The following is a 25,140-nucleotide window of genomic DNA, read 5'->3' as shown; positions in this document are numbered from 1 at the left end:
ATATATATATAAAATGGAATATTACTCAGCCTTAAAAAGAAAGGAAATTTGCTATTTGTGACAACATGTTTGAATCTAGAGGACATTCTAAGTGAAATAAGCCAGGATGAACACTGAATGACCCCAACTTTTATGAGGAATCTAAAATAGTCAACCTAATAGAACAAGAGACTAGAATAGCAGCTGACAGGAGCTGGAGGGAGGGAGAAATGGGGAAGTATTGGTCAAAGGGTACAAAATTGTTTTAGTCATGCAAGATGAATAAGTTTTGGATATCTACTGTACAGTGTATGGCCTGTGGTTAACAATGCTGTATTGTATACTTAAAAGTTTGCTTTCATGGATAGATCTTATGTCAAGTACTCCTGCAAAAGAAATAAAAAATAAATAAAGGAAACTTATGGAGATGATAGATAAGTTTATGGCATAGATTGTGGTCATGATTTTATGGGTGTATAGTTACCTCCAAACTTATCAAGTTATATGCATTAAATATGTACAGCATTTTGTATGTAGATTATACCTCAATAATGTGGGTATTTTTTAAAAAAAGCAGTAATATATTTATTAGGGGCTTAGTCTCTTTGAACCATGACATTTTAATTCCTTCCCTTGTCCCTTCCCTATCAACACCAGATGTCTGACGTGGAGTCCAATCAGAGGTAGTAAGTCAGTGGTTATTAGAATTGACTCAGATTCGAGTATTTTCAAACCAATATTTCTAAGTTCTCAAAATTATATTAAAAGTGTTTAAGAAAAAGGAAATTCAATTATTCATTAATAAGCATTTATAGTTCTTACACTGTGTACCAGTTATATATTAAGTGCTGAAAATAACAAGATGAATAAAACATGACATCTGTCCTTGAGAATCTCACAGTCTAGAGGACAAAAGGACCTGATAAAGTGTAATGCAGTAAGGTAAGTTCTGTTATCACAAACCTGAAGAATAACCTTGAGTTTTTTAAGGGATAGCTCTTGCTCAGAAACTCTTAATCGTTTTAATATCTCCCCATCTATTGCTAACTGAAAAAGGACTATGCTTTATCTTGCTGTCAATCCAGCACATGCCTTACCCACATCTACCATTTCCATAAGAATTCTCCCCTCCACTTCATACTCAGATTCTTGTGATCTAACCAAATTACTGGCTTACCTGTCAACCCTCAGACACAATTTATTATTTTCTGCACTTTTATTTGTGCTTAAGGAATTTCTTTCAACCTAAAATTTTCATCTTTTCCTCTCCATTTTTCAAATCCACTGAAGGTCATCAAAAATATTGTTTTCTCCTTGGAGTGTTTACTGAATTCTCCAGACAAGGCAATTTCTCCTTCCTTTAGACTGGCATAATAAATTCCATGTTTCACAGGAACTGTTCATAGACATTGAGCAGTGACTAGAGTTACACTTCAATTATTTCCATTCAAACCCTATCATAGAATCATAATTTAGGGACTCTGTGCAGGAACCATATCTTGGTGATTATTTTGTATCTGCCTTACAATACCTAACCCAGAGCCTAATATATGATAAGCACTTAAAAAATACCATGAATGCTTCAATATAATATAATTCCCCAAATAGAGTGAGCCTCCATATTCCCAATGAGAATTTTACTAATTAAATGATTTTGCCCAAGAATAATATACATTCACTTATCAGTTTAATGTTTATGAGGTTATCTAATAACTAGTTTTAATTCTTAGTTTATTAAATTAGTTACATTTACATATTTAAACCGCATATTTTAGGCTGAGCTCAGTAGCTCACTCATGCAATACTTGCACTTCAGGAAGTCTAGGGAGGAGGATCACTTGCATGCACAAGTTCGAGACTAGCCTGGGCAACATAGTGAGACCTCATCTCTACAAAAAATAAAATTAGCAAGGTGTGGTGGTGCGCACCTGTAGTCCCAGCTCTTTAGGACGATGAGGTAGGAGGATCACTTGAGCCCAGGAGGTCAAGGCTTCAGTGAGCTATAATCATGCCACTGCACTCAGTCTGGGTGACAGAGTGAGACCCTATCTCAAAACTGCAAAAATAAATAAATAGTATATCTTTTCAAATAACAAAATTATTAAGAAATGGCATGTTTTTTCATCTCACTCTTAATACATGATACAACTTACTCAAGCTCTTACACAAAACCCGCTCATCAAGATCTTTATCTTCTCTAGAGCTACATTTAAAGTCCTCGTGATCATTTCCCAGGATGCAATCTAAGCGTTTTTTGAATATGTGATTCTTATAGTCTTTGGAAATTTTATTTCACAGACATAATCAATTTACATATCTTCTAAATGGTCTTTTTTTTTTTCATTTGACCTTGGAGCATTTACTGAATTCTCCAGACAAAGGCAATTTCTATAGGTGTATACTCATAATATCAACATCATATACATCTACTTCATTTTTGAATTAATTGGTTTTATTTCTTAAAGCAGCTTTTGTTTTACAGAAAAAGCGAGTAGGAAGTACAAAGTTCCCTATAACCCCTCACTCCCTACAGTTTCCCCTATTATTAATCTCTTACATTAGTATGATAAATTTGTTACAGTTGATAAACCAATTTTATATATTATTATTAACTAAGGTCCTTAGTTTACAGGTAGGTTCACTCTATATGTTGTATATTCTATGGCTATTTTACAGGTAGATTCACTCTTTATGTTGTATATTCTATGGCTATTTTACAGGTAGATTCACTCTTTATGTTGTATATTCTATGGCTATTTTGTTCTTTAAATAGACTTTTTTTTTTAAAGCAGTTTTAGGTTCATAGCAAAATTGAGCAGAAGGTACAGAGATTTCCCACACACTCTCTGTCCCCACACATGCATAACCTCCCCAATTATCAACATCCCCCACCAGAGTGGTACATTCACTACAATTGATGAACATACACAGACACACCATTATCACCCAAAGCCCATAGTTTACATCAGGATTTACTCTTGGTGTTGTGCATTCTATGAGTTTTTGATAAATGAATAATGGCATGTATTCATCACAGTATCCTACAAAATAATTTTACCATCCTAAAACTTCCCTGTGCTCCACCTACTCCTCCATCCCTTTCTTCCATGAACTCTAGAAAACCAATTATCTTTTTAGTATCTCCATTGTTTGGTCTTTCCCAGAATGTCATACAGTTGTAATCATATGGTATGCAGCTTTTTCAGATTGGCTTCTTTCACTTAAAAATATGAAAGTAAGGTTCTGTGTCTTTTCATGGCTGGATAGTTCATTTGTTTTATTGCTAAATAATATTTCATTGCAGGTAAGTGCTGCAATTTGTTTATCCATTCACCCATTGAAGTGAACACTCTTGACTGTTTCTAAGTCTTGGCAATCAGGAATAAAGCTCCTAAAGATACTCATGTGAAATTCCTTGTATGGGCATAGTTTTTCAAAGAAATACATTTCATATTACAATGTAATATATACAATTGCTAGATTGTACCCACAGGAATAGTTATGAAATCTGATTTAATGTGTTTGCATCTTTTTTACACATTTTTCCTGTTGACCTCAATATATCTTTGAATTCAACATTAATTGAGGTTGTTTGTGGCTATGGAATCTTCACCTTGGAGTCAGAAAGTTTGTCTTATTAACTGATTGTACCATTTACAAGCTATATTATCTCATGTAGAATAATCTTTCCATATATTAGTTTATCTATATGTAAAGTGACTATATTTTAGGGTTGTTGAGAGTATTAATGGTAAATTGTAGCTATATCTATTAGAAATGATTTAAATAGGCCAGGTGCAGTGGTTCATGCCTGTAATCCGAGGGAGGCCTCCTTAGAGAGGCTGAGGCAGGAGGATCACGAGGTCAAGAGATAGGGACCATCCTGGCCAACATGGTGAAATCATTTCTCTACTAAAACTACAAAAATTAGCTGGGCGTGGTGGCATGCACCTGTAGTCCCGGCTACTCAGGAAGCTGAGGCAGGTGAATTGCTTGAACCCGGGAGGCAGAGGTTGCAGTAAGCCGTGATCACGCCACGGCACTCCAGCCTGGCAACAGAGCGAGACTCTGTTTCAAAAAAAAAAAAAAAGATTTAAATAATAACTTGGAAAATGATGCACATGTAAAAATTCCAAGCATATACTTCCAAAAGAGCAAGCTTGGATTGTCTAACTCAAAAAAATTGACATGAGCCACAAAAACTCACCTCCTAGGGCCCTAAGAAAACATACGGTATTGGATACCTAAAAAATCCAAACCTCACCATGCAGAGTTCCACAAAATTGACAGATGTGCATTAATATATAATTTTAAACTTTGCCTTAGAAATATGCAATGTACTAATTACAAAATCATACACACTCCTCAATTCTCAGAGTATTGTAAAATCTTTGGAAAAGTAAAATTTACTGGATTTGTTTTTATATACTTTATTAATATATAAATTAATTTATGTACATATGAATTCTTTCATTAATTATTTCACTCATGTACTCCAAAAGAAATTATAAACTAATTGCAGAGGATAAGACATAGCTGGTGACGTCTAGAGAAGCAGTTCTGTGTTGCAGAATAGAAAAAAGTTTTTCTCTGTAGCCATAATGAGCTGGAGAGGAGCTGAATCCCAGGTCAGTGATTAACTAGCTATATAAATTTGGCACATGATTTAATCTTTCTAATCTCAATTTCCTTCTGTGTGAAGTTGAGATAATATTTCTTATCTTTCTGGGTTATTTGTCAAATGGCAAGCAATATTTGTAAAGTTCCTGATTCATAATAAAAGATCTTCAAATAGTAACTCTTGTTTGGATTTCCTTACCTAAATCCTTTATCTGAGCCCTTTCCAGCATTCTATTTTTCAGCAAGATATGTAAATGGCTTAAGAAAATTGGCTCATACATTAGATATTTTTAAATCAAGTTTTCCTGTGTATCCTGTGACTTAATCTTCTAGATCTATCTTATATATCATCATTGAGAATGAAATATATAAGAATAGATTATCAAAACTACAGAATTGTTTTTATATTATTGAAATTTAAAATATTTGGGTAATTCTCTATGCTAGTAAAAAATTAATAATATAAATCTTCCATCATATCCCACTGCTGCTTGAGCTCTTTTACAAAAAGTTTTTGAAGGAGATAAGGTGATATTATTAATACCACCTTGCAGAAGAAAAGAAATTGGGACCCTTAACAGGTAAAAGGATTTAATCTAAGTTACATAATCAGTACTGGATGTGCTGACAAGACATCTCAGCCTCTGGCATTCTTCACATGTTATATAAATGGCATAGTATTGGGTCTCTAACTTTTAAATTTACCAATAGCATAATTTTGTGTATATATGAAGTTAAAGAATTTGTTTTGAAACAAATTACTGGTGTTACTGTGATTGCAGAGTTGCTACTTTTTAATCATATATAGCTCCATTACATAACCAAATGTTCAGGAAATATTTGTAAAACTAAAAAAAAATTCTTACTCTGTATATTAATAGAAATGAATATGAGATTATATGAATGTGACATTAAAGATTGAAGGAATGTCCTATAAGCCAAAAGCTTTTTGAGAAATACTCACCATTTGCCTGGAAATTGAATAATGTCACACTAAAGACAAAGCTGGATTGTGTCCCCTTGGCATTAACTATATGGCGTTAATGGCAGATAGCATGTGAAAATGTGAGCAGACAGTTATCATAAGGGATATAAAAATATAAGAAGAAGCTAGATTTAAATAACATTTCTCAAGAAAAATATAGCCACGATTAAAATATAGCTTTTTTATCGTATGATTTTTAAGATTTCTCAAGTTTAAAGACACAGAAATACAATTTAAATGATCTCAGGGAAAAAAGTAATTTATTGGAAGGATTCTAGGTCATGTTATGGAAACCAAACCAGAAAAAAGAGAGGGCTATATTTGTACCCCAGGGACACTGGATCTAGTGACAGGTAGTGAACACTAGAACTCACATGACATCAGGGACTTGGGCTTTCATCTCTGCTGCTTCTTGAATGCTCACATTGTTTTTCCCTTCCTTTTCAAACTTTCTCAACTTAGCAGTAAAGTTGACTACAAGCAGTTTTAAAGTTGTACACCTTTCAATTTAACCTCCAAAGAGAAAACATTACTAACTGCTGCTATCTCTGGTTCCAAGTCCAAAAACTGCAGAGAAGGTAATCATTTGTTCAGCTTGGATCATGTGCCCAAAACTGGACAAACAGTTGTGGCCAGAGAAATACAGTCTTGTTAGCAACATGGAGCATTCATAGACTTATGGACTGTTATAACTAGGAGACACATTAAACATCACTTTTCTAATAATTTTGTTTTAGATATTAATGAACTGTGACAACAAATGTTCAGAGACTTGACCAAGTGACAAAACTTGAATTTGAATAAGTATCTAGTGTTTTTGTAATGCTTAAAGTTATTAAAAGGAAAATAAAAATAAATGAAGTAGGAAGAGAAGGAAATGAAGTAGAAGAAAGAAGAAGGAGGAAGAGAGGGAGAAGGAAAAAGAAGGAAAGAAGGAAGGAAGGTTGAAATGGAGAAAGAAAGTAAAAGGGAAAGAAAGGAAGTAAAAAACAGAAACAAAAAGGGGCAGCTCCTACTGTAATTTTATTGATGGAGTGAGTGGGAGAAGAGGTTATATTATAAAGTGGCTGGAAAACAATGCCATACTTGCCCATTATAGTCTATGAACCATGACTTACGTAGTATATATAGCAAGTAGAATAAATCAATGATTATATTTGGCTTAAATTGTCAGATTATTTTACTCAATTTCTCTCATTTTGCAATAGATGTGCTTTCCCATTTTGATTTTTCACTCATCTTCCCTTTTATCTACAGATCTGTAGGCTGTTTCTTATAAAACAGATTCCTGGGTGAAAAAATTTCTTGGCATCATCACACAAAAAAATAATTATTTGGTTCTGCCTAGTTTAAAATATCAGTGTAAAATTAAACACTTACTACAATGTACCTCCATTTCTTAATAGGCACTAAGCTTCATTAGAAATGTAAATTGAGCTTTTACAAGCAATATCTTTTTTTTTTTTTTAGATGGAGTTCTGCTCTTGCTGCTCAGTCGGGAGTGCAAAGGCACAATCTTGGCTCACTGCAACCTCTGACTCCTGGGTTTAAGCAATTCTCCTGCCTCAGCCTCCAGAGTAGTGGGGATTACAGGCACGTGCCACCACGGTTGGCTAATCTTTGTATTTTTAGTAGAGACGGGGTTTTACCATGTTGGTCAGGCTGGTCCCAAACTCCTGACCTTAAGTGATCATCCACCTCTGCCTCCCAAAGTGCTGGGATTATGGGCGTGAGCCACCGCGCCTGGCCTCACTAGCAATATCTTTAATGACGCCTTGGTATACTAGGTAACTACATAAATTATTAAAACACAGCCATAGGAAAATGTGTCTGTCTTCATCCAGATTCATCTCTAAATGTATGAATGTTTGAGATAGCACTATTGATGTATTGTAGTATTTTCTTTGGGGCTATCTGAGTAAAGTGAATAATTTGTTTAACAATGTTGACTATTTGCCTACTAAGTGCCACGCAGGTACTTAGAAGTGGAACAGAAAATAAGATAATTCTTAGAGATCTAGTCCAGTTGAGAGAAAAAGCCTTGTAAAAGGTCATTATAGACTTCTGGTAATGGCAAACTGAATATTTTGAACCAGACTTCCTGAAGAGCATAACAAAGAGCTAAACAAAATATATGAATCATTTTCCTTATGTCATCTTATAACTAATAAAGTAGGAAATAATTATGGCTTCAATACCTGGAAGAAACCAGAAATCTAGAGAGAAGAGCCTGCTTTTTGGAATCCTTCTGCTCTGTAGGCATTGGCAGCCCAGAATAGGTATCCGACAGATTGGGCAGTACTTTGGGAAGATTCCTGGGTCCATGGAAAATTGCCTTGGAAATAAATGTCACCAAATAGTGTGGCTCTGGTAAATCCCTTGAGAATGGGTTGGAATCAGACAAGCGTACTCTAGGTCTGTTACAGGTAGTTAGACAGGCATGAGCATGGCAGGAGAGGGCTGTTCACCCCTACCCACTAGCAATGTCAAGTGATGGTTTGACAATTATCACACTGCCTCTCTAAAAATGATAATTTGGCAGCCTGTGCCAGGGCATCAGGGAGAGACAACCTCCTTACCATCCAAAGCTATTAACATTAAAGTGTTAAAATTATGCAGCAGCCAGGAAGAAGCAACTTCCCAGGCATATGCATTAAGAGGCAAAATATCAGAGTATGACCTTCTGGGGCGACTCCACCGGAAAAGGGAAGGAATCCTCAGATGGGCATGTGTACCACTTCCTAAAGACAGTGCACGTGCTCACTTCCCAAGCGTAAAGAGGGCACTGCGCATGAGGGCAGCTCCCCCTAAGGGAAGAATCACAAAAAGGGGCATAAGATGCCAGCCTACAAAGTCCTAGGATGACAGCTGAATGCGACACTTGTTCTTCAAGTCGCCCACTTGGATCTCTTCCAAGTGATCTTTCCTTTTTTTCCTGTTCTAAAGCCTTTTTAATAAACTTCCACTCCTGCTCTGAAACTTCCTCTTTTTCTGCCTTATGCCCCTAAATTGAATTCTTTCTTCTGAGGAGGTAAGAATTCAGGTTGCTGCAGACCCGTACAGATTCGCAGCTGGTAACTCAGATATCTGCCACCAGTAACAGGTCTAAGAGTGCATCAGAAGCAAAACAGCTATTAAAAGTTTGAGTCATGTGGGCGATCTCGGCTCACTGCAAGCTCCGCCTCCCGGGTTTGCACCACTCTCCTGCCTCAGCCTCCTGAGTAGCAGAGACTACAGGCGTCCGCCACCACGCCTGGCTAATTTTTTGTACTTTTTTTAGTAGAGACAGGGTTTCACTGTGTTAGCTAGGATGGTCTCGATCTCCTGAGCTTGTGATCTGCTGCCTCAGCCTCCCAAAGTGCTGGGATTACAGGCATGAGCCACCATGCCCAGCCAAAAGCATCAGTTCTTAAAGTTGGGTTAAAGCAAAATAAATGATAAAATATGCAGGTAAATTTAAATGAATACCGACTGCAAAAAATAATAATATATTGTCTCAGGGGTCTTATAATATGTACATAATTAAAATAAATTTTAAAATGCATATACTTTGAAGGAAAAGGTGTTCTGCAGTGCTTGCATTGTCTGGGAAGAGAGTATCAATTAATTCTAGTACATGTTTCTCAGGAAAACCAGTGAACTATAGTAAAAGAGGAATAAATGCTGAGTTAATTTGGGGGAAAAGAGAAAAGAATTTTAATATGAAAGAAGGCAAGAAAAGAGATTATAAAGTATAAGACTACATAAGACAAATAGAAAATGTAGAGCAAGATTGTAGATTTAAAGCCAAATACTAAAAATATTTAATGTAAATAAAGACAGTTGTTATCTGCCTAGACAAAAAACGAAACTCGATTTTACACTATTTAAGAGATATATGTAAAAAGAAAATACAGAAAGGTTGGAAAGAAAAAAGATAAGAAAGAAGATGGGGAAAAAGACGGGAAAAAAGATGCTCCTGTAGTCCCAGCTACTTGGGAGGTTGAGGCAGGAGAATGGCGTGAACCCGGGAGGTGGAGCTTGCAGTGAGCCTAGATTGTGCCACTGCACTCCAGCCTGGGCGACAGAGTGAGACTCCGTCTCAAAAAAACAGAAAAACAAAACAAACAAACAAACAAACAAAAAAACATATAATTCTGCAGAATGCACATCATTTTTATTGTCTCAAGAAGAACTTAATAGCAATTAGCCAAACACTAGTCATAATGTATATTCATAAAATTCAAAGGACTGAAATCATACAGAATGTTTCTTGACCACAATTTAGTTGAGCTAGAGGTCGATAGCAAAAACGAGCCAAAATAAGAAAAAATAAAATTAAAACTGAAAAATGCTCATGTATATACAGAAATCATTTCCAGGTGGATTGCAGATCTGAATATGAGGTTGTAAACCAAAAGGTATTTGAGACAGGTCTCAATCAATTTAGAAAGTTTATTTTGCCAAGGTTAAGGACATGGCCCCTGACAGAGCCTCAGGAGGTCCTGAAGACATGTGCCCAAGGTGGTCAGGGTTCAAGTGTGCTTTTATACATTTTAGGGAGACATGAGACATCAATTAATATGTGTAACATTGCCTTAGGTACAGTAAATCAGGACTACTTGAGGGGGGCGGAGGCAAAAGACTGTATTCTTTTGAGTCCTTGATCAGCCTTCCACTGAATACACCAATACACAATTTGGTCTGGCTCAGTGAATCTACATTTTTACATAAACAATGCAGTGGAGAAAGCAATCAGACATGCATTTGTCTCAGGTGAGCCTCAGAGGGATGACTTTGAGTTCCGTCTGTCCTTTGTCCACAAGGAAATTCCCTGTGGGGGAGGTATGTAGCTTTTTATCTTTGTAGCTACCTTATTTAGGAATACAATGGAAGGCAGGTTTGGGTGACATAGTTCCCAGCTTGAATTTTCCCTTGGCTTAGTAATTTGGGGGTCCTGAGGTTTATTTTTTTTTTTTTCACAAAAGTAAACAATGCATGTTTTACAAAGAAAACATAACAAAACATCTTATTGCTCTTAGAGTAGGCAGTAATTTTGCTTATTTAAAAAGGTATAGCCTGGGTGCGGTAGCTCACGCCTGTAATCCCAGCACTTTGGGAGGCCCAGGCGGGCAGATCACGAGGTCAGGAGTTTGAGGCCAGCCTGGCCAATGTGGTGAAATGCCGTCTCTACTACAAATACAAAAACCAGCCAGGCATGGTGGTGTGCGCCTGTAGTCCCAGTTACTCAGGAAGCTGAGGCAGAAGAATCACTTGAACCCAGGAGGCGGAGGTTGGAGTGAGTCGACATCATGCCACTGCACTCCAGCCAAGTAAGACTCCGTCTCGAAAAAAAAAAAAAGTATAAATCAGAGAAGAAAAAATAATAAATCAGACTATTTTAAAATGTAGAACTACTGTTTATCAAAAATATGCCATCAAGAGAGTAAAAATGCTGCCAATAAAGTGGGAAAATATCCAATTACTTAGATCAAGAGCACGTAAGAAATGATGCTTAACATCCTTAGTCACTGTGGAAATGTAAATTAAAGCCACTATGCCAGAATGGCTAAACTGAATACTCTTCAGAAATGAGAATAAACAATGTACAGTTACAAGTAAAAATATGGATTAATTTCATGAACGTAACTGAGCAAAAGAAGTTACATTAAAAAGTATACATATTCTATGATTAAATTGCATAAAGTATAAAATTAAGTGAACCTAATCTATGGTTTTGGAGGTCAAGATAGAGATTAATTCTCCTTCCCATAGGGTGTGGCATGTTGACAAGATAAAGTATTGAGCCATACACAATAAACCATACTATTTGTTTGTTTAATTTTGAGATAGGGTCTTGCTGTCTTTCCCAGGCTGCAGTGCAATGGCATAATCATGGCTCACTGCAGGACCAACCTCCTAGGCTCCAGTGATCCTCCACTTCAGCCTCCTCTCTGCAACTACAGGTATGCACCACCACACCTGATGAATTTCTTGTCTTTCATAGAGACAAGGTCTCCCTATGTTGCCCAGGGTGGCCTTGAACTCTGGGGTCAAGTGATCCTTTCACCTTAGCCTCTCAAAGTGTTGGGATTAGTCATAAGCCACAGTATTTGGCCTTTTAAAAATACATACATATATATTGAAAATCACTTTTTTTTCTTTCCAACTTTTTTTAGGTTCGAGGGGTACATATACAGGTTTGTTACATGGGTAAATTGCATGTTGCAGGGGTTTCTTACACAGATTATTTCATCACCCAGGTAATAAACACAGTACCTGAGAGGTGGTTTTTCACACCTCACTCTCCTTCAACCCTCCACCCTCAAGTAGGCCCTAGTGTCCATTATTTATAACCATGTATACTCAATATTTAGCTCCCACTTATAAGTGAGAACATGTGGTGTTTGGTTTTCTTTTCTTGCATTAACTAATTTAGGATAATGGCCTCCAATTCCACATGTGTTGCTGCAAAGGACATGACTTCGTTCTTTTTTATGACTGCGTAATATTCCATGGTACATGTCTACCACATTTCCTTTATCCAGTTCAGCACTGATGAGTGTCTACCTTGATTCCACATCTTTGCTATTGTGCTTTAATAAACATATGCATTAATGTGTCTTTCTGGCAGAACAGTTATATTCTTTTTTCTTTTTTTTTTTTTTTTGAGACAGAGTCTCGCTCTGTCGCCCATGCTGGAGTGCAGTGGCATGATCTTGGCTCGCTGCAAGCTCCGCCTCCCAGGTTCGTGCCATTCTCCTGCCTCAGCCTCCCGAGTAGCTGGAATTACAGGCGCCCGCCACCACGCCTGGCTGATTTTTTGTATTTTTAATAGAGGCGGGTTTCACCATGTTAGCCAAGATGGTCTCGATCTCCTGACCTTGTGATCCGCCCGCCTCAGCCTCCCAAAGTACTGGGATTACAGGTGTGAGCCACTGCACCCGGCCAGAACATTTGTATCTTTTAGATATATACCCAGAAATGGAATTCCTGGGATGACCGATAATTCCATTTTAAGTTCTTTGAGAAATCTCCAAACTGCTTTCCTCAGGGGCTGAACTAATTTACATTCCTGCTAGCAGTGTATAAGCATTCCATTTTCTCCTTAATCTCATCAGCATCAACTTTTTAATAAGCTATTCTAACTGGTATGAGATAGTATCTCATTGTGGTTCTGATTTGCCTTTCTCTAATGATTAGTGATGTTGAGCATTTTTTCATATGCTTGTTGGCTGAGTGTATATCTTTTCTTGAGAAACGCCTATTCATATCCTTTGCCCATTTTTTTAATAGGGTTATTTTGGTTTTGTTTGTTTGTTTAAGTTCCTTATAGATTCTGGATATTAGACCTCTGTCAGATGCATAGTTTGCAAATATTTTTTCTTTCAATTTAGGTTTCTTTCAATTTACTCTGTGGATAGCTTCTTCTGCTGTGTATAAATTCTTTAATTAGATCCTACTTGTCCATTTTTGTTTTTTTTTTTTCAATTTTGGAATCTTTGTCATGAAATCTTTGACAGGACCTATGTCCAGAATGTTTATTCCTAGGTGTTATTCTAGGGTTTTATAGTTAAAAGTTTTACATTTAAGTCTTTAGCCCTCAAGATGAGTTACATTTTACATTTTTCATTTAACTCATTAAGTCTTTAACCCATCCTGACTTTTGTTTATAGTAAAGAGAAGGGGTCCAGCTTCAATCCTCTGCATATGGCTAGCCAGTTACCCAGCACCATTCATTAAATAGGGAGTCCATTTACCATTGCTTGTTTTTGTTAACTTTGTCAAAAGTTGTTTGTTGTAGGTGTGTGACCTTATTCCTGGGTTCTCTATCCTGTTGCATTGGTCTATGTGTCTGTTTTTATACTTGTACCATGCTGCTTTGGTTACTGTTGCCTTGTAGTAGAGTGTGATGCCTCTGGCTTAGTTCTTTTTGCTTAGGATTGTTTTGGCTATTCAGACTATATTTTGGTTCCCTATAAATTTTGGAATATATTTTTCTAATTCTGTGGAAAATGTTTTTGATAGTTTGATAGGAACAGCATTGTATCTATAAATTGCTTTGGGCAGTATGACCATTTGAACAATATTGATTCTTCCTACAGATGACCATGGATTATTTTTCCATGTTTGCTTAATCTCTGATTACTTTCAATAGTGTTTCATAATTCTTATTGTAGAGATCTTTCCCTTCTCTGGTTAGCTGTCTTCCTAGGTATTTTTGTATGTGTGTGGCTATTGTGGATGGGATTGTGTTTTAATTTGCCTCTCAGCTTGGATGTTGTTGGTAAATTGTGTTTATTTCGATCTTCAGTTTTCTTTATTACTCCAACTTGTGGTCTATCAATCTTATTCTTTCAAAGAACCCACTTTTTGTTTCGTTAATCTATTGTATTTATTTTAATCTCAATTTCATTCAGTTCAGCTCGGATTTTAGTATTTCTTTTCTTCTGCTAGTTTTCCGGTTGATTTGCTGTAAGTTGGGTTCAGCTGAGTGGCTTTGTTTCTGGATGATTTCACGGGGGGCCAGGCTCAGCTGAGCACTCTTGAGCTGCATGCTCTATCCATAAGGTGTGGTGTCCAGGCCCATAACTTCGTTCTCTGTCCCCGTGAGGTTAAGCAGCTGCTGTGCTGGAGGTGCTAGAGATGTTCCCAGTCCACAAGCACCAGTACTCTGATAAGGGGTGCTGGAAAAAGCACTTCATCAGGATAGTGGCATCAGGGTCCACACATGCACACACACTGACAACAGTGTGATGGCAGTGTGATGGAGTCTGTGTACACATGCTCATGCTAGTGATGGTGGAGTGGCTGGGTCTCCATGCACATAGGCACCAGCAGGGGCTGGGTTATGGTGGTGAGTTCCACATGCATGCATCTGTGGTACTGGGTGATATGTTTTGGCTGTGTCCCCACCCAAATCTCATATTGAATTATAATCCCCACTGGTTGGGGGAGGGACCTCATGGGAGGTGATTAGATCATGGGAGTGGTTCCCCCATGCTGTTCTTGTGATAGTGAGTGAGTTCTCATGAGATCTGATGGTTTTATAAGAGGCTTCCCCCTTCCCTCTGCACTCATTCTCTCTTCTGCCACCATGTGAAGAAAGATATGTTTGCTTCTTCTTCCATCATGATTGTAAGTTTCCTGAGGCCTCCCCAGCCATTCAAAACTGTGAGTCAACTAAACCTCTTTTCTTTATAATTTACCCAGTCTCAGGTATGTCCTTATAGTAGCGTGAGAATGAACGAATAGACTGGGGTTGTGAGAGGTTCACAGAGTGCACACCATAGCATAGTAGTAGGAAGAGGCCATAGGCAGGTGCTTGGGGGCAAAGCAGTGGTAGGAGGCTGCTGGCAGGTGCATGTCATCCGGGCCTGTCTGCTAAAGCTCTCCGATGGTTAGGTAGAGTCCACACCAAGTAGCTATGGTGGCAGCTGCTGCAAAATGCCTCTGTTGGGGATCTCAGGCTGCAGTGCAAATGGGTGTGGCCGGGGAGGTGCCCCAGAGAAGGACCAGCAAACAGGGGTGTGTTCAGATCAGACTGGCCCCGTCCCATGGACCAGATAGCTCTGCTCTGTTCAGGTCTGATAGTCAACAAAGGCCAAAGCCACCTAGGGGAGTGTGGTAAGCCTTGGAGGATGTGCATCCCTGGCTATGCTCTACTGTAGTCATGCTGTGCCAACACCCCCCAGTTCCCAGCCCCAAAGGCTGACACTTCTCCAAGCAGCTCTCCATGCCAGCTCGGATGTATATGGAGGTCACGGGGATTCCTACGGTTAATACTCTAGAGGTCCATGGTAAGTCCATGGGCCACTTCTCACCTATTTAACTCACTCCTTCCAAGGAGTCACTGGGGGCTGGGAACAAGTCCTGGTGCTTGGCAGTCTCATGCAGGGTTCCCAGCTTCCTCCCCCTTCAGCCCAGTGTCTGCATGCTCCCTTTTTCCACTCTTAATGATTTCCTTCTAAAGATCTCCTTAGAGTATACTGGACTTCATGATGGTCTGTTTTCACCATGGGAGATGCTTTTCCTTGCTGTTTCTAGCTAGCCATCTTGGCTCCTCTCGCTTTTTTGCATGTGTATTTTTATGTATATGTCTTCTACAGAGAAAGCACCAAATTTAGATGACTTCACTGATAAGTCCTACCAAATATTCAAGAAAGAAATCCTAAACTAATAAATCCTACCAAATATTCAAGAGAACTATTATATAAAACCTCCTAGAGAATAGAAAAACTTAGAAATATTTTCAATTTATTTTATAAGAGCAGCATAAACATAATGCTAAAAGCAAACAAGTATATTATGTGGAAAGAAAGTATTAATAGGCTGGGCATGGTGGCTCACACCTGTAATCCCAGCACTTTGGGAGGCAAAGGGCGGGGAGCACAAGGTCAGGAGATCAAGACCATCCTGGCCAACATGGTGAAACCCAGTCTCTACTAAAAAATACAGAAAATTAGCTGGGCGTTGTGGCTGGCGCCTGTAGTCCCAGCTACTCAGGAGGCTGAGGCAGGAGAATGGCGTGAACCCGGTAGGCAGAGCTTGCAGTGAGCCGAGATTGCACCACTACACTCCAGCCTAGGCGACAGAGCGCAACTCTGTCTCAAAAAAAAAAAAAAAAAGAAAAAAAGAATTAGTAATAAGTTAATTTCATTTATATACAGAGATGCAGCTGTCTTAAATCATTAGTGCACAAATCCAGCAATACATAAAAAGTACAGTATTATCACAACCATGCAAGATCTATTCCAGAAGTGGAAGGTTGGCTTAATAATGAAAAATCAATTAATGTAATTTACTTTTATATTAAAGCAGAAAAAATCATGTACAGAAAAGGCTATTGATAATAAAAATCAAAAGCTAGTGATAAAATGCAATAATCATTTATGGTACAGTATTTAGCAAAGTAGGAATAGATGAAATTTTTCTTTTTTTTTTTATTATACTTTAAGTTTTAGGGTACATGCGCACATTGTGCAGGTTAGTTACATATGTATACATGTGCCATGCTGGTGCAAAAATTTTTCTTATCTAATAGAAGGATTTTGCAAAAACTTGTAGCAAATGTTATTATGAATTGTTAAAATATTATCCAATGAGATTAGAAATTAGAAAAAAAGTTCCTAATATTATTTCCCTTTCAAATTATACTGTACATTCTTGTCAAAACAGGAAGGCAAGAGGAAAAAAGTTATAAGGTTGAAAGAAAGCAATAAAATGCTCATTAGCTGCAAAATACATGATTATGTATCTATAATATCCAATGAATGTACAGATGAGTTATCTGGATTATTAAGAAGTTTAGCAAGGATGTTGGTGCAAGGTAATACATCAAAACTTTATGTATAAACCAGTGGTAAACAATTGAAAGTAAAATTTAAAACATAATATTATAATATTATTGATATATCATATATCAAAAAATAGTCCTGCAAGAATCTTAACAGAGGAAACTGTAAATCATTATTGAGAAATCTTTTATACATGTTCATAGTTAAGGAAGAGTTAAATAAAGAGAAGAGAATATATGTTCATGAATAGGAAGACTCAATATTTTAAGATGTAAATTCTCCTCAAATTGAGCTATATGTTCACTGGCTAAATCCCAGTCAAAATCCCAGCAGGTATTTTTAGATATCAGTAAGCAGACTTTTAAGTTATCCTGCTTTTATTTCAGAATATGGCCAAGAAAACTGAGGGAAAAATTTTCACTTCACACAACTGAGCCAAGTTACAGGATATTTCCATGACTGGATCTTCCAAGTTCCAGAACAGAAATATTAAGCTGCAATTGTAAGATCTGGTTCTAGATGAGTGGCTATTAATGCTGGTTGAAGAATCTGCAAAACTGCTACAAAGGGAAGAATGAGCCCACTATGCACATTGGGATGGGAAACTATTAAAAAAAAAACAAAAAACAAACAACAACAACAACAACAAAAAACTCCTCCAAAATTAGAAAACCAAAATTCCCATTTCCCTGAAGAAATGTAATGTTGATCTTTTGGCAAGTGTGTCAAGTTCTGTGTTGCAAACAAACAAGCTCCACCTTATTTTTATGAAAAGGCTACCCAGTTACCCACTTTGTCACTACTCTTAGATTCAAGGTTCATGATGTGGTTTGGATTTGTGTCCCTGCCCAAATCTCATGTTTAATTATAATCTCCCATGTTGAAGGAGGGGCCTGCTAGGAGCTGATTGAACCCTGGGGCCGAATTTTCCCCCTTGCTGTTCTTGTGATAGTGCATGAGATGGGAAGACAGTATCTGAGTGTTTAAAAATGTATAGCACCTTCCCCTTTGCTCTCTTCCTCCTGCTCCTGTCATGTAAGACATGCCTGCTTTCACTTCACCCCTCCATCGTGATTGTAATTTTCCTGAGGCCTCCCCAGCCACGCTCCTTGTATAGCCTGCAGAACTGCAAGCCAATCAAACCCCTTTTCTTTATAAATTACCCAGTTTCAGGTAGTTCTTTATAGCATTGTGAGAATGGACTAATACAGTTCAGGATTTGCAATTTAAGGAAACATGCGGTGCATTCTATCATATTCTCTATTATTAGTAGATCTTTTATAATACGGTACATTTCAAATGTGTTCCTCCCCAACCACAAAGCCATTTATTTATCTAAACGGCCTTGCCATGTCAAAGGCAAGGCTACTGTTCAGTAAACCCCTCTAAATCAGAATGTCATTAGAAGAAATTTAAATTATATGTAAAGGAATAAAAGCTGAAAATTGAAGGCTTTTGTTTTGAAAAGTTGAACTTACAAATTTGCAAGTGTCATTTTCTGTATTTCCGAAATACTGTAAAATTTATTTATCATAAAGTTTAATATTAGAAATAAAAGCTTATTACTAAAAAAAGTAATGTTAAGAAAGACAAATAATATAGCAAACACTCAAAATTGTAATTTCACTCATATAAATTCATTTTCTACAATAATCAGAGGAAAATTAAAATTACATGTTCAAAATTTGGAGGTGAAAGCAGGGATCAACTGTCTATTAAAGTTACTAAATTTGTCATAAAAAATTTAAAGACTCTGGAAGATTTGGTTTCATTTAATGAGTTCAGGGAATTAAAAAAACATGTTTTTCTGTATTTTTTTGCAAGTTCTTGTCAGAAAGCATTTGGAAAGGCAAAAATATATAGCAGAGAGATCAAATACGGTTGGAGTTGAGATTCAGAGGCAGAGATAAGTGATATGGTTGGAGTATATCAATCTCCCAAGGAGCCACTTCCCAGGTTCGGAATGTAGAAACCAAGCCAGAAGTAAGAGTGGCATAAAATCATCTCCCTACCACCTGCAAACTACCTCTCCCATCTATCTAAACAGTGGAAATTTCTGGTAATTTAACAAAAAGTATTTATGAGTTGTTAACAAAGATATGAAAAGCTAAACCATTGTTTCAGGTACCATGCAAATTGACAATGAAGTGTTGAAAATGAAACATAGGGCCTCTTTTCTGAATATTATTATGTATTAGTCCATTCTCACACTGCTACAAAGATACTACCTGAGACTTGGTAATTTATAAACAAAAGAGGTTAAATTGACTTACAGTTCTGCATGGCTGGAGAGGCCTCAGGAAACTTACAATCATGGCAGAAGGTGAAGGGGAAGCAGGCACCTTTTTCACAAGGCAGCAGGAGAGACAGAAAGAGCGTGAGCGGAGGGGAAGTGCCCACTTTCAAACCATCAGATCTCATGAGAACTCACTCACTATCAGGAGAACAGCATGGGGGAAAATCCCCTCAATAATCCAATTACCTCCCACCAGGTCCCTCCCTCAACATGTGGGGATTACAATTCAAGATAAGATTTGGTTGGAGACACAGAGCCAAATGGTATCATATGATCTAATTGTTAGACAGAATCATAAATACACAAAGCATAGGTGAAAAGTCTCATAATAGCATTAACACCATAAAATTATGAAAGAAGGAGGAGCCCATTCTTCAAGGAATGTCAGGAACAGTTTCAGAAAAGAATCTTTGAGCTAGGTCTTGACAGATGACAAATACATAGTCTCATATGGTTAACTCTTGAGCCTTATGAGGATGAAAAACCAGTATCAGAAATAAAGACCAAGTTTTGATTTATCTTATGTGCCATGTTAAGTACTTTAGGCTGAAGGCAGTAGGAATAAATCAGCTGATTTTTAAACAGGAGAGAGAGATACGGGCAGGTTACTTATATCGGAATCAGTGGGTGGGATAGATTGGATAAAAGGGGCGGGGAGGAGAAGAAGGGGCAGAGAAGGGAAGGGAGAGGAGAGGATAAACCATAGTTTTATTATCTAACAAAAAGCTTCCAGGGAATTTAGGCAGACGATAGTTTTTCTTAAGGCTCCTTTTTTTCATTGACTCCTTTCTAATTCCCCCAAGTCTCAATTCTGTTTTCTCATTTTTAATTTCTATATCTCATGTGAACTTACATCTGCATTGATATGATTTTCATTAGATATTATAAAGAAGAATATTTATAATTAATCTAATGTTAGGAATATTTAGCATGCAACAAGTGAATATAGGTGCTTACTAATTAATGCCTTGGATTACAGTGTCCTAATGCCTGGAGGTTTTTGGAAGTAACTCTGATCTCAGTAACACTTACCCTATTGCTGTTTATCTAACAAAACAGGCATTGCCTCAGCTCACAGCATTTGTACTTGCTGTTCCCTTTCCCTGGGATGTACTTTCCTCAAACATCTACAGGGCATATTCATGTATGATCTCTGAAATCACCTTGCTTCTGACTGCAGTATATAACATAGCAAAGGCCGCTGCTCAATTTCCCACCACCTCCAATTCTGTTTTTCCAATTCTGCTCCCCTTTTTTCCACAGTATTTATTGCCATCTGACATTCTATGGATTTGCTTGTTTGCGGCCAGCCTCCCCCACGAGAAAGGAAGCTCCTCAAGAGCAAGAATTTTGTTTTGTTCACTGTTGTATGTCCCCGGCACCAACAACAGTGTCTGGCACAGTGTAGATGCCTAGGTGATATTTGTTGAATGAATTAGTAAATAATATTCCTATAAAATGTGGTGAAAAGAATTCCACATGAGGAAATTAAAGTCTAGAGAAATACAACAACTTGCTGAATATAACTTAACATTAGCAATTATTATCACTGTCATTTTAGTACTATTTTTACAAACCTATGCTTTGACATATAAATTAGCTCCAGTCATCACAGCAGCGCTGTAAGATAGATGTTGCAGACAGTTGTATAGATTGTTCAAGGTCAGCTAGCTAATGGATAGAAGAATAATTTTCTGACCAAATGGTGATTTGTTATATTTGGATGGAATCTATGTTTCCTAGCAATTTACCTGCTGGGTTGCACTTCATCTGCCTTATATCCCTTAGCTTTCTTCCACCTTCTGCTTACATATTGAAGAATTACAGGCTTATCATTATATATTTGCCTACTGATTAAATGTATTGTAATCCTTTATGGAATTACCATAAGAGATACTATGGATAGGCTAGAACAAACTTTGAAAGAGAGGTGGTGTATTCGTTTCCTAGAGCTGCTGTGTTAGGGTTCTTCAGGGAGATAGAACTGATAGGATATATATATATATATATATATATATATATATATATGTATGATATATGTGTATGTGTGTGTGTATGTATATATATATATATATATATATAGAGAGAGAGAGAGAGAGAGAGAGAGAGAGAGAGACGAGATGAGATGGGAATTTTTTAGGGGAATTAGCTCCCATGACAGGCTTTCTGCAACCTGAAAACACTGAAATGCTGATAGCATCGCTTAGTCCAACTCTGAAAACCTCAGAACAAGGTAAACAAATGGTGTAACTCAATCTGAGGCTAAAGGCCTGAGAACTCAGGGAGTTGCTGGTGTAAGTTCTGGAGTCCAAAGGCCAGAGAGCTTAGAGTTCTGATGTCCAAAGGCAGGAGAAGAAGGGTGTCCCAGCTCCAGAAGAGAGAGAGAAAGAAGGAGAGCAAATTTGCCTTTCTTCTCGCTTTTTGTTCTACCTGGGTCCACAGCCATTTGGATGTTAACCACACACATTGAGGGCAGATCTTTCCCCATTCAGTCAACCAACTCACAATTCATGAACCAATCTCCTCAGAAACACCCTCACAGACATACCTCATGGAAATAATGCTTTATCAGTTCTCTAAGTACTCCTTAATCCAGTCAAGTTGACATCTAAAATTAACCATCACAATTGCTGTCACAAAATACCACAAAACTACAGACATAAAACTCACGTAAAACTACAGAATTTTTGTTTGTTTCACAGTTCTGGGGGCTAAAAAATCAAAGGTGCCAGAATCAAAGGCCCAAAATCAAGATATTGGGAGGGCCATGCTCCCTGTGAAACCTGTAGGAGAAAATCTTCCTTGTCTCTTCCTAGCTTCTGACGGAGGTCATTGATCCTTGGCATTCCTTGGGTTACAAATGCATCGCTCCAATCTCTGTCTCTGTCATCACATGGCATTCTCCCTGTGTGTTTTTATCTTCATGTGTTCATCTTTTATGTACGTGTGTGTGTGTGTCTGTGTCCAAATTTCTCTTTTCTTATGAAGACAACAGTCATACTGGATTTGAGCAATCCCTAACTGACCTCATCTTAACTCGATTATACCTGCAAAGACCCAACTTCCAAATGAGGTCGCATTCATAGATGCCAGGGTATAGGACTTCAACATATATTTCTGCAGGACACAATGCAACCCATAGCAGATGGAGAGCATCAGCATGATGGGATTGCTAATAATGGGTTTAACGTATCAAGCTTTTTCTCAATTCAGAGACTTCTCATGTATTGTCTCCTCTGTCTGCATTACTTTTCTGCCCACTCTTTGCTCAAGTTCTGGTGTTGTACTGGAGCCATCTCACACCAGCTCCTGAGGGTCAATTGTTAAATTATCAGAAGCCAGTTGCCAAACACAGCAATTATTAAAAATTAAATATATAAACATAATTAATTACATTTAAAGCAATGGTAATACATTCTAAAAACTCATCCATTTCTAGCTATTTTGCTACATTTGATTATTATCTATCTATACTCTTTAGATTATTTGCATCTATTATATTTACATAGCAGAAATATAAAATACTTGTATTCATATGTCTCCCTAAATACATATTCAGTGACCTCACCTTGGTAGTTTGAAATTGGCCACAGAGTGGATATATTTATAATACAGAAATCAGCTACCAGTACAAATCAGGTCTTTTTTTATCCTTGGAAAAGCAGCTGTTAAATATTTACCAGATATACTGGTTAATTCTCGTACTTCCTTTAGGCCTCATCTTCATCTCCTCAGACCAGCTTTCCATAGCATCCATTTAAAATAGACTCCTTCCTCTCATTATTCTCTTTCTGAATTCCTTTTTCTATTCTTCTTGAAACTCTTTTTTGTAATTGTGCAGTTATACATGCATTTATTGAATATCTGTTTTTCTCACTAAATTAAGTTTCTTGAGAGCAGGACCCATGATTTTTTTATTTCTGCTTATTTCTAGCACAGAAATACAGCATTTAGCATATGACAGGCACTTAATAAATATTTGTTAAATATTTATGATGCATTTGAGGATCAAATGGAAAATCAAAATTATGAGATAGTATGTTAAGTTTGGTGATCAGGCAAAGTTAAAGCATGGCCAAAAGGCACTGAGTTTCCAGTTACCTGCTAAGATGTGTAATTAAATTTAGGTGAAAATTGAGAGTGTTAATTCCTTGGTATCTATTTTTCCTGCCTCTTTGCACTTATGATTTGTGATGGTAAACATTAATAATCAGATGCATGGGACAACTGAAGTAAAGAGAGATGTGTATGGCGTATACCCAGTGAGAGGTTCCTAGAATGTAGTAAATTTATTCTGATAAAAGAATCTGACAATTGAAGAAAGGAATGCAAACTGGCCTATGGCATAGTTACCGACTTACCATTTGTGCCAACGAATCCTTGGGTGACCTCACTGTAAGGAGCTACATGAGATAAAGATGGGCTCAATGTAGAAATGAAAATAATAAATGCCTTCAATGGGAGGATAGGTCAACATATTTGAAGTATTCTGGGGTACTACTAAGCCTGGGAAATAATCTAGGGACAGAAGAGGTGGGCACTAGTCTTGGCTTCCAGGCTTTAATTAAACACCTATATATGGGCAGCATCAGCTGTAGTTAGGAAGCAGTTCATTCCATCCAGAGACTTGGTTACCGAAGGCCCAGACTTATCAAGCATGGCCAAATGGTAAGAGTAAGAGTCTTGAAAGTAGACATACTGAGATATTAAAATTAACTCTTAGTTTATTAAATGACTTTCAGTAATGTAATTAATCTTTCTGCAGTTGGTTTCTTTATGTCTTAAATTGGGGTAACAGTACAAACATGTTGGAGAAAGGAGACCACCACTAAAGTTTAAGGAAGTTTTGCATGAATTAGTAAAGGGCATCGACTCTGAGCTAATGCAGTCCCTCTAGCTAATGGCTTGGCAAGAAAATGACTCTTTTGCATAAGTAAAAAGATAGTTTCTTGTTTCTGGTGCTCATACTCAGGGTACAAGACTACTGGCCTCCAAATGCAGGAAGCAAGAGATCTGTACAATCATTCTGGGTCCTGGGGCTGAGGTAAAGATTAAACAAGATCTTATATTAAAACACTGAGCTGTATTTGAAAACTTAACCCTGTCACAAATGTCAGTTTCCTTCCCAAAAATCTCTCCTCCTTTTCTTCTCTTTCCTGTCTCCCTGACACCACTATCAAGTTGGATTTCCTTGCCCTTGGAGACAAGTTAGTTCAACTTTAATTTTCTACAAGTATCTTTGTTTCAGACCCTGAATAGATAACAGAGAGTCATTTACCCTGTTCTCATTGCTCTACCCCATGTAACCCCCATCCCATGTAATTAATCGTAAAGTATATTTTGTTTTATGAGGTATCCTGAGTAAGTGCTAATGGAGACTAAGTTTAGGGAGCATGAAATACTGCTACCTTTCTCCATGTGCCAATAAACCTGCTCAGTCTCAGCTGTAAAAAAACAAACAAGTAAAACCTGTTTTTCTCTTGTTCCTTAAATTATGTCAGTACCTGGCAGTTGTTTATGTTTAAAAAGTCAACAGAAGGCAGTCAAGGGACCAGGAACATGATAAGTGTTTAAAGGGTGTGATTTACTACTCAGCAGTGTGCCAGTGATGTGGCATGAATTAAAAACAAGAAGTCTTCCAGGAGAAAAGATTTCTTTAGAGATGTAATTAATTGACCTGGCTTGGGTCCCTCCTTTCCCGGAGGAAAAACTTCTCCTTTTCCGGAGTAGTTGTCAGTGAAGTGTTTCAAATACTGCCCTGGTTGTAATTATTGTTCAAGTTCATGCTGCAAAATCATCTTCACTTAATAATTCTAGCATTCACCACCCAAAAACTCATAAGCAAGGCTTTTGTATTGCCACACAGTTTGGGATTTTTTTTCTCAGAATTAGGAAGCAAATGTAGCCAGCAATTATTTTAGATATTGCTTTCAGAAATGAATTTTTCCCATATCTGTCAGATTTGGCTCAGAGTTCTTTTTCAA

General features: G+C 37.4%; 1 protein-coding gene across 1 annotated transcript in view, besides 1 other annotated feature; it reads left to right on the top strand.

Annotated features, from left to right (window-relative positions):
* Positions 1-25,140, top strand: part of NOX4 (NADPH oxidase 4) — a 265,205-nt gene that overhangs the window by 7,323 nt on the left and 232,742 nt on the right. The window lies entirely within an intron of this gene.
* Positions 10,399-11,217: an enhancer, noted in NCBI's record as "OCT4-NANOG-H3K27ac-H3K4me1 hESC enhancer chr11:89304186-89305004 (GRCh37/hg19 assembly coordinates)". NCBI's record gives its function as "activates a minimal SCP1, AML or CMV promoter by ChIP-STARR-seq in naive H9 embryonic stem cells {active_cell/tissue: H9 hESC(naive)}" and the evidence as "EXISTENCE:reporter gene assay evidence [ECO:0000049][PMID:30033119]".

Source organism: Homo sapiens, chromosome 11 (genome assembly GCF_000001405.40).
Source record: "Homo sapiens chromosome 11, GRCh38.p14 Primary Assembly".
Classification (NCBI taxonomy): Eukaryota; Metazoa; Chordata; class Mammalia; order Primates; family Hominidae; genus Homo; species Homo sapiens.
This window is presented reverse-complemented; position numbering and strand designations above follow the sequence as displayed.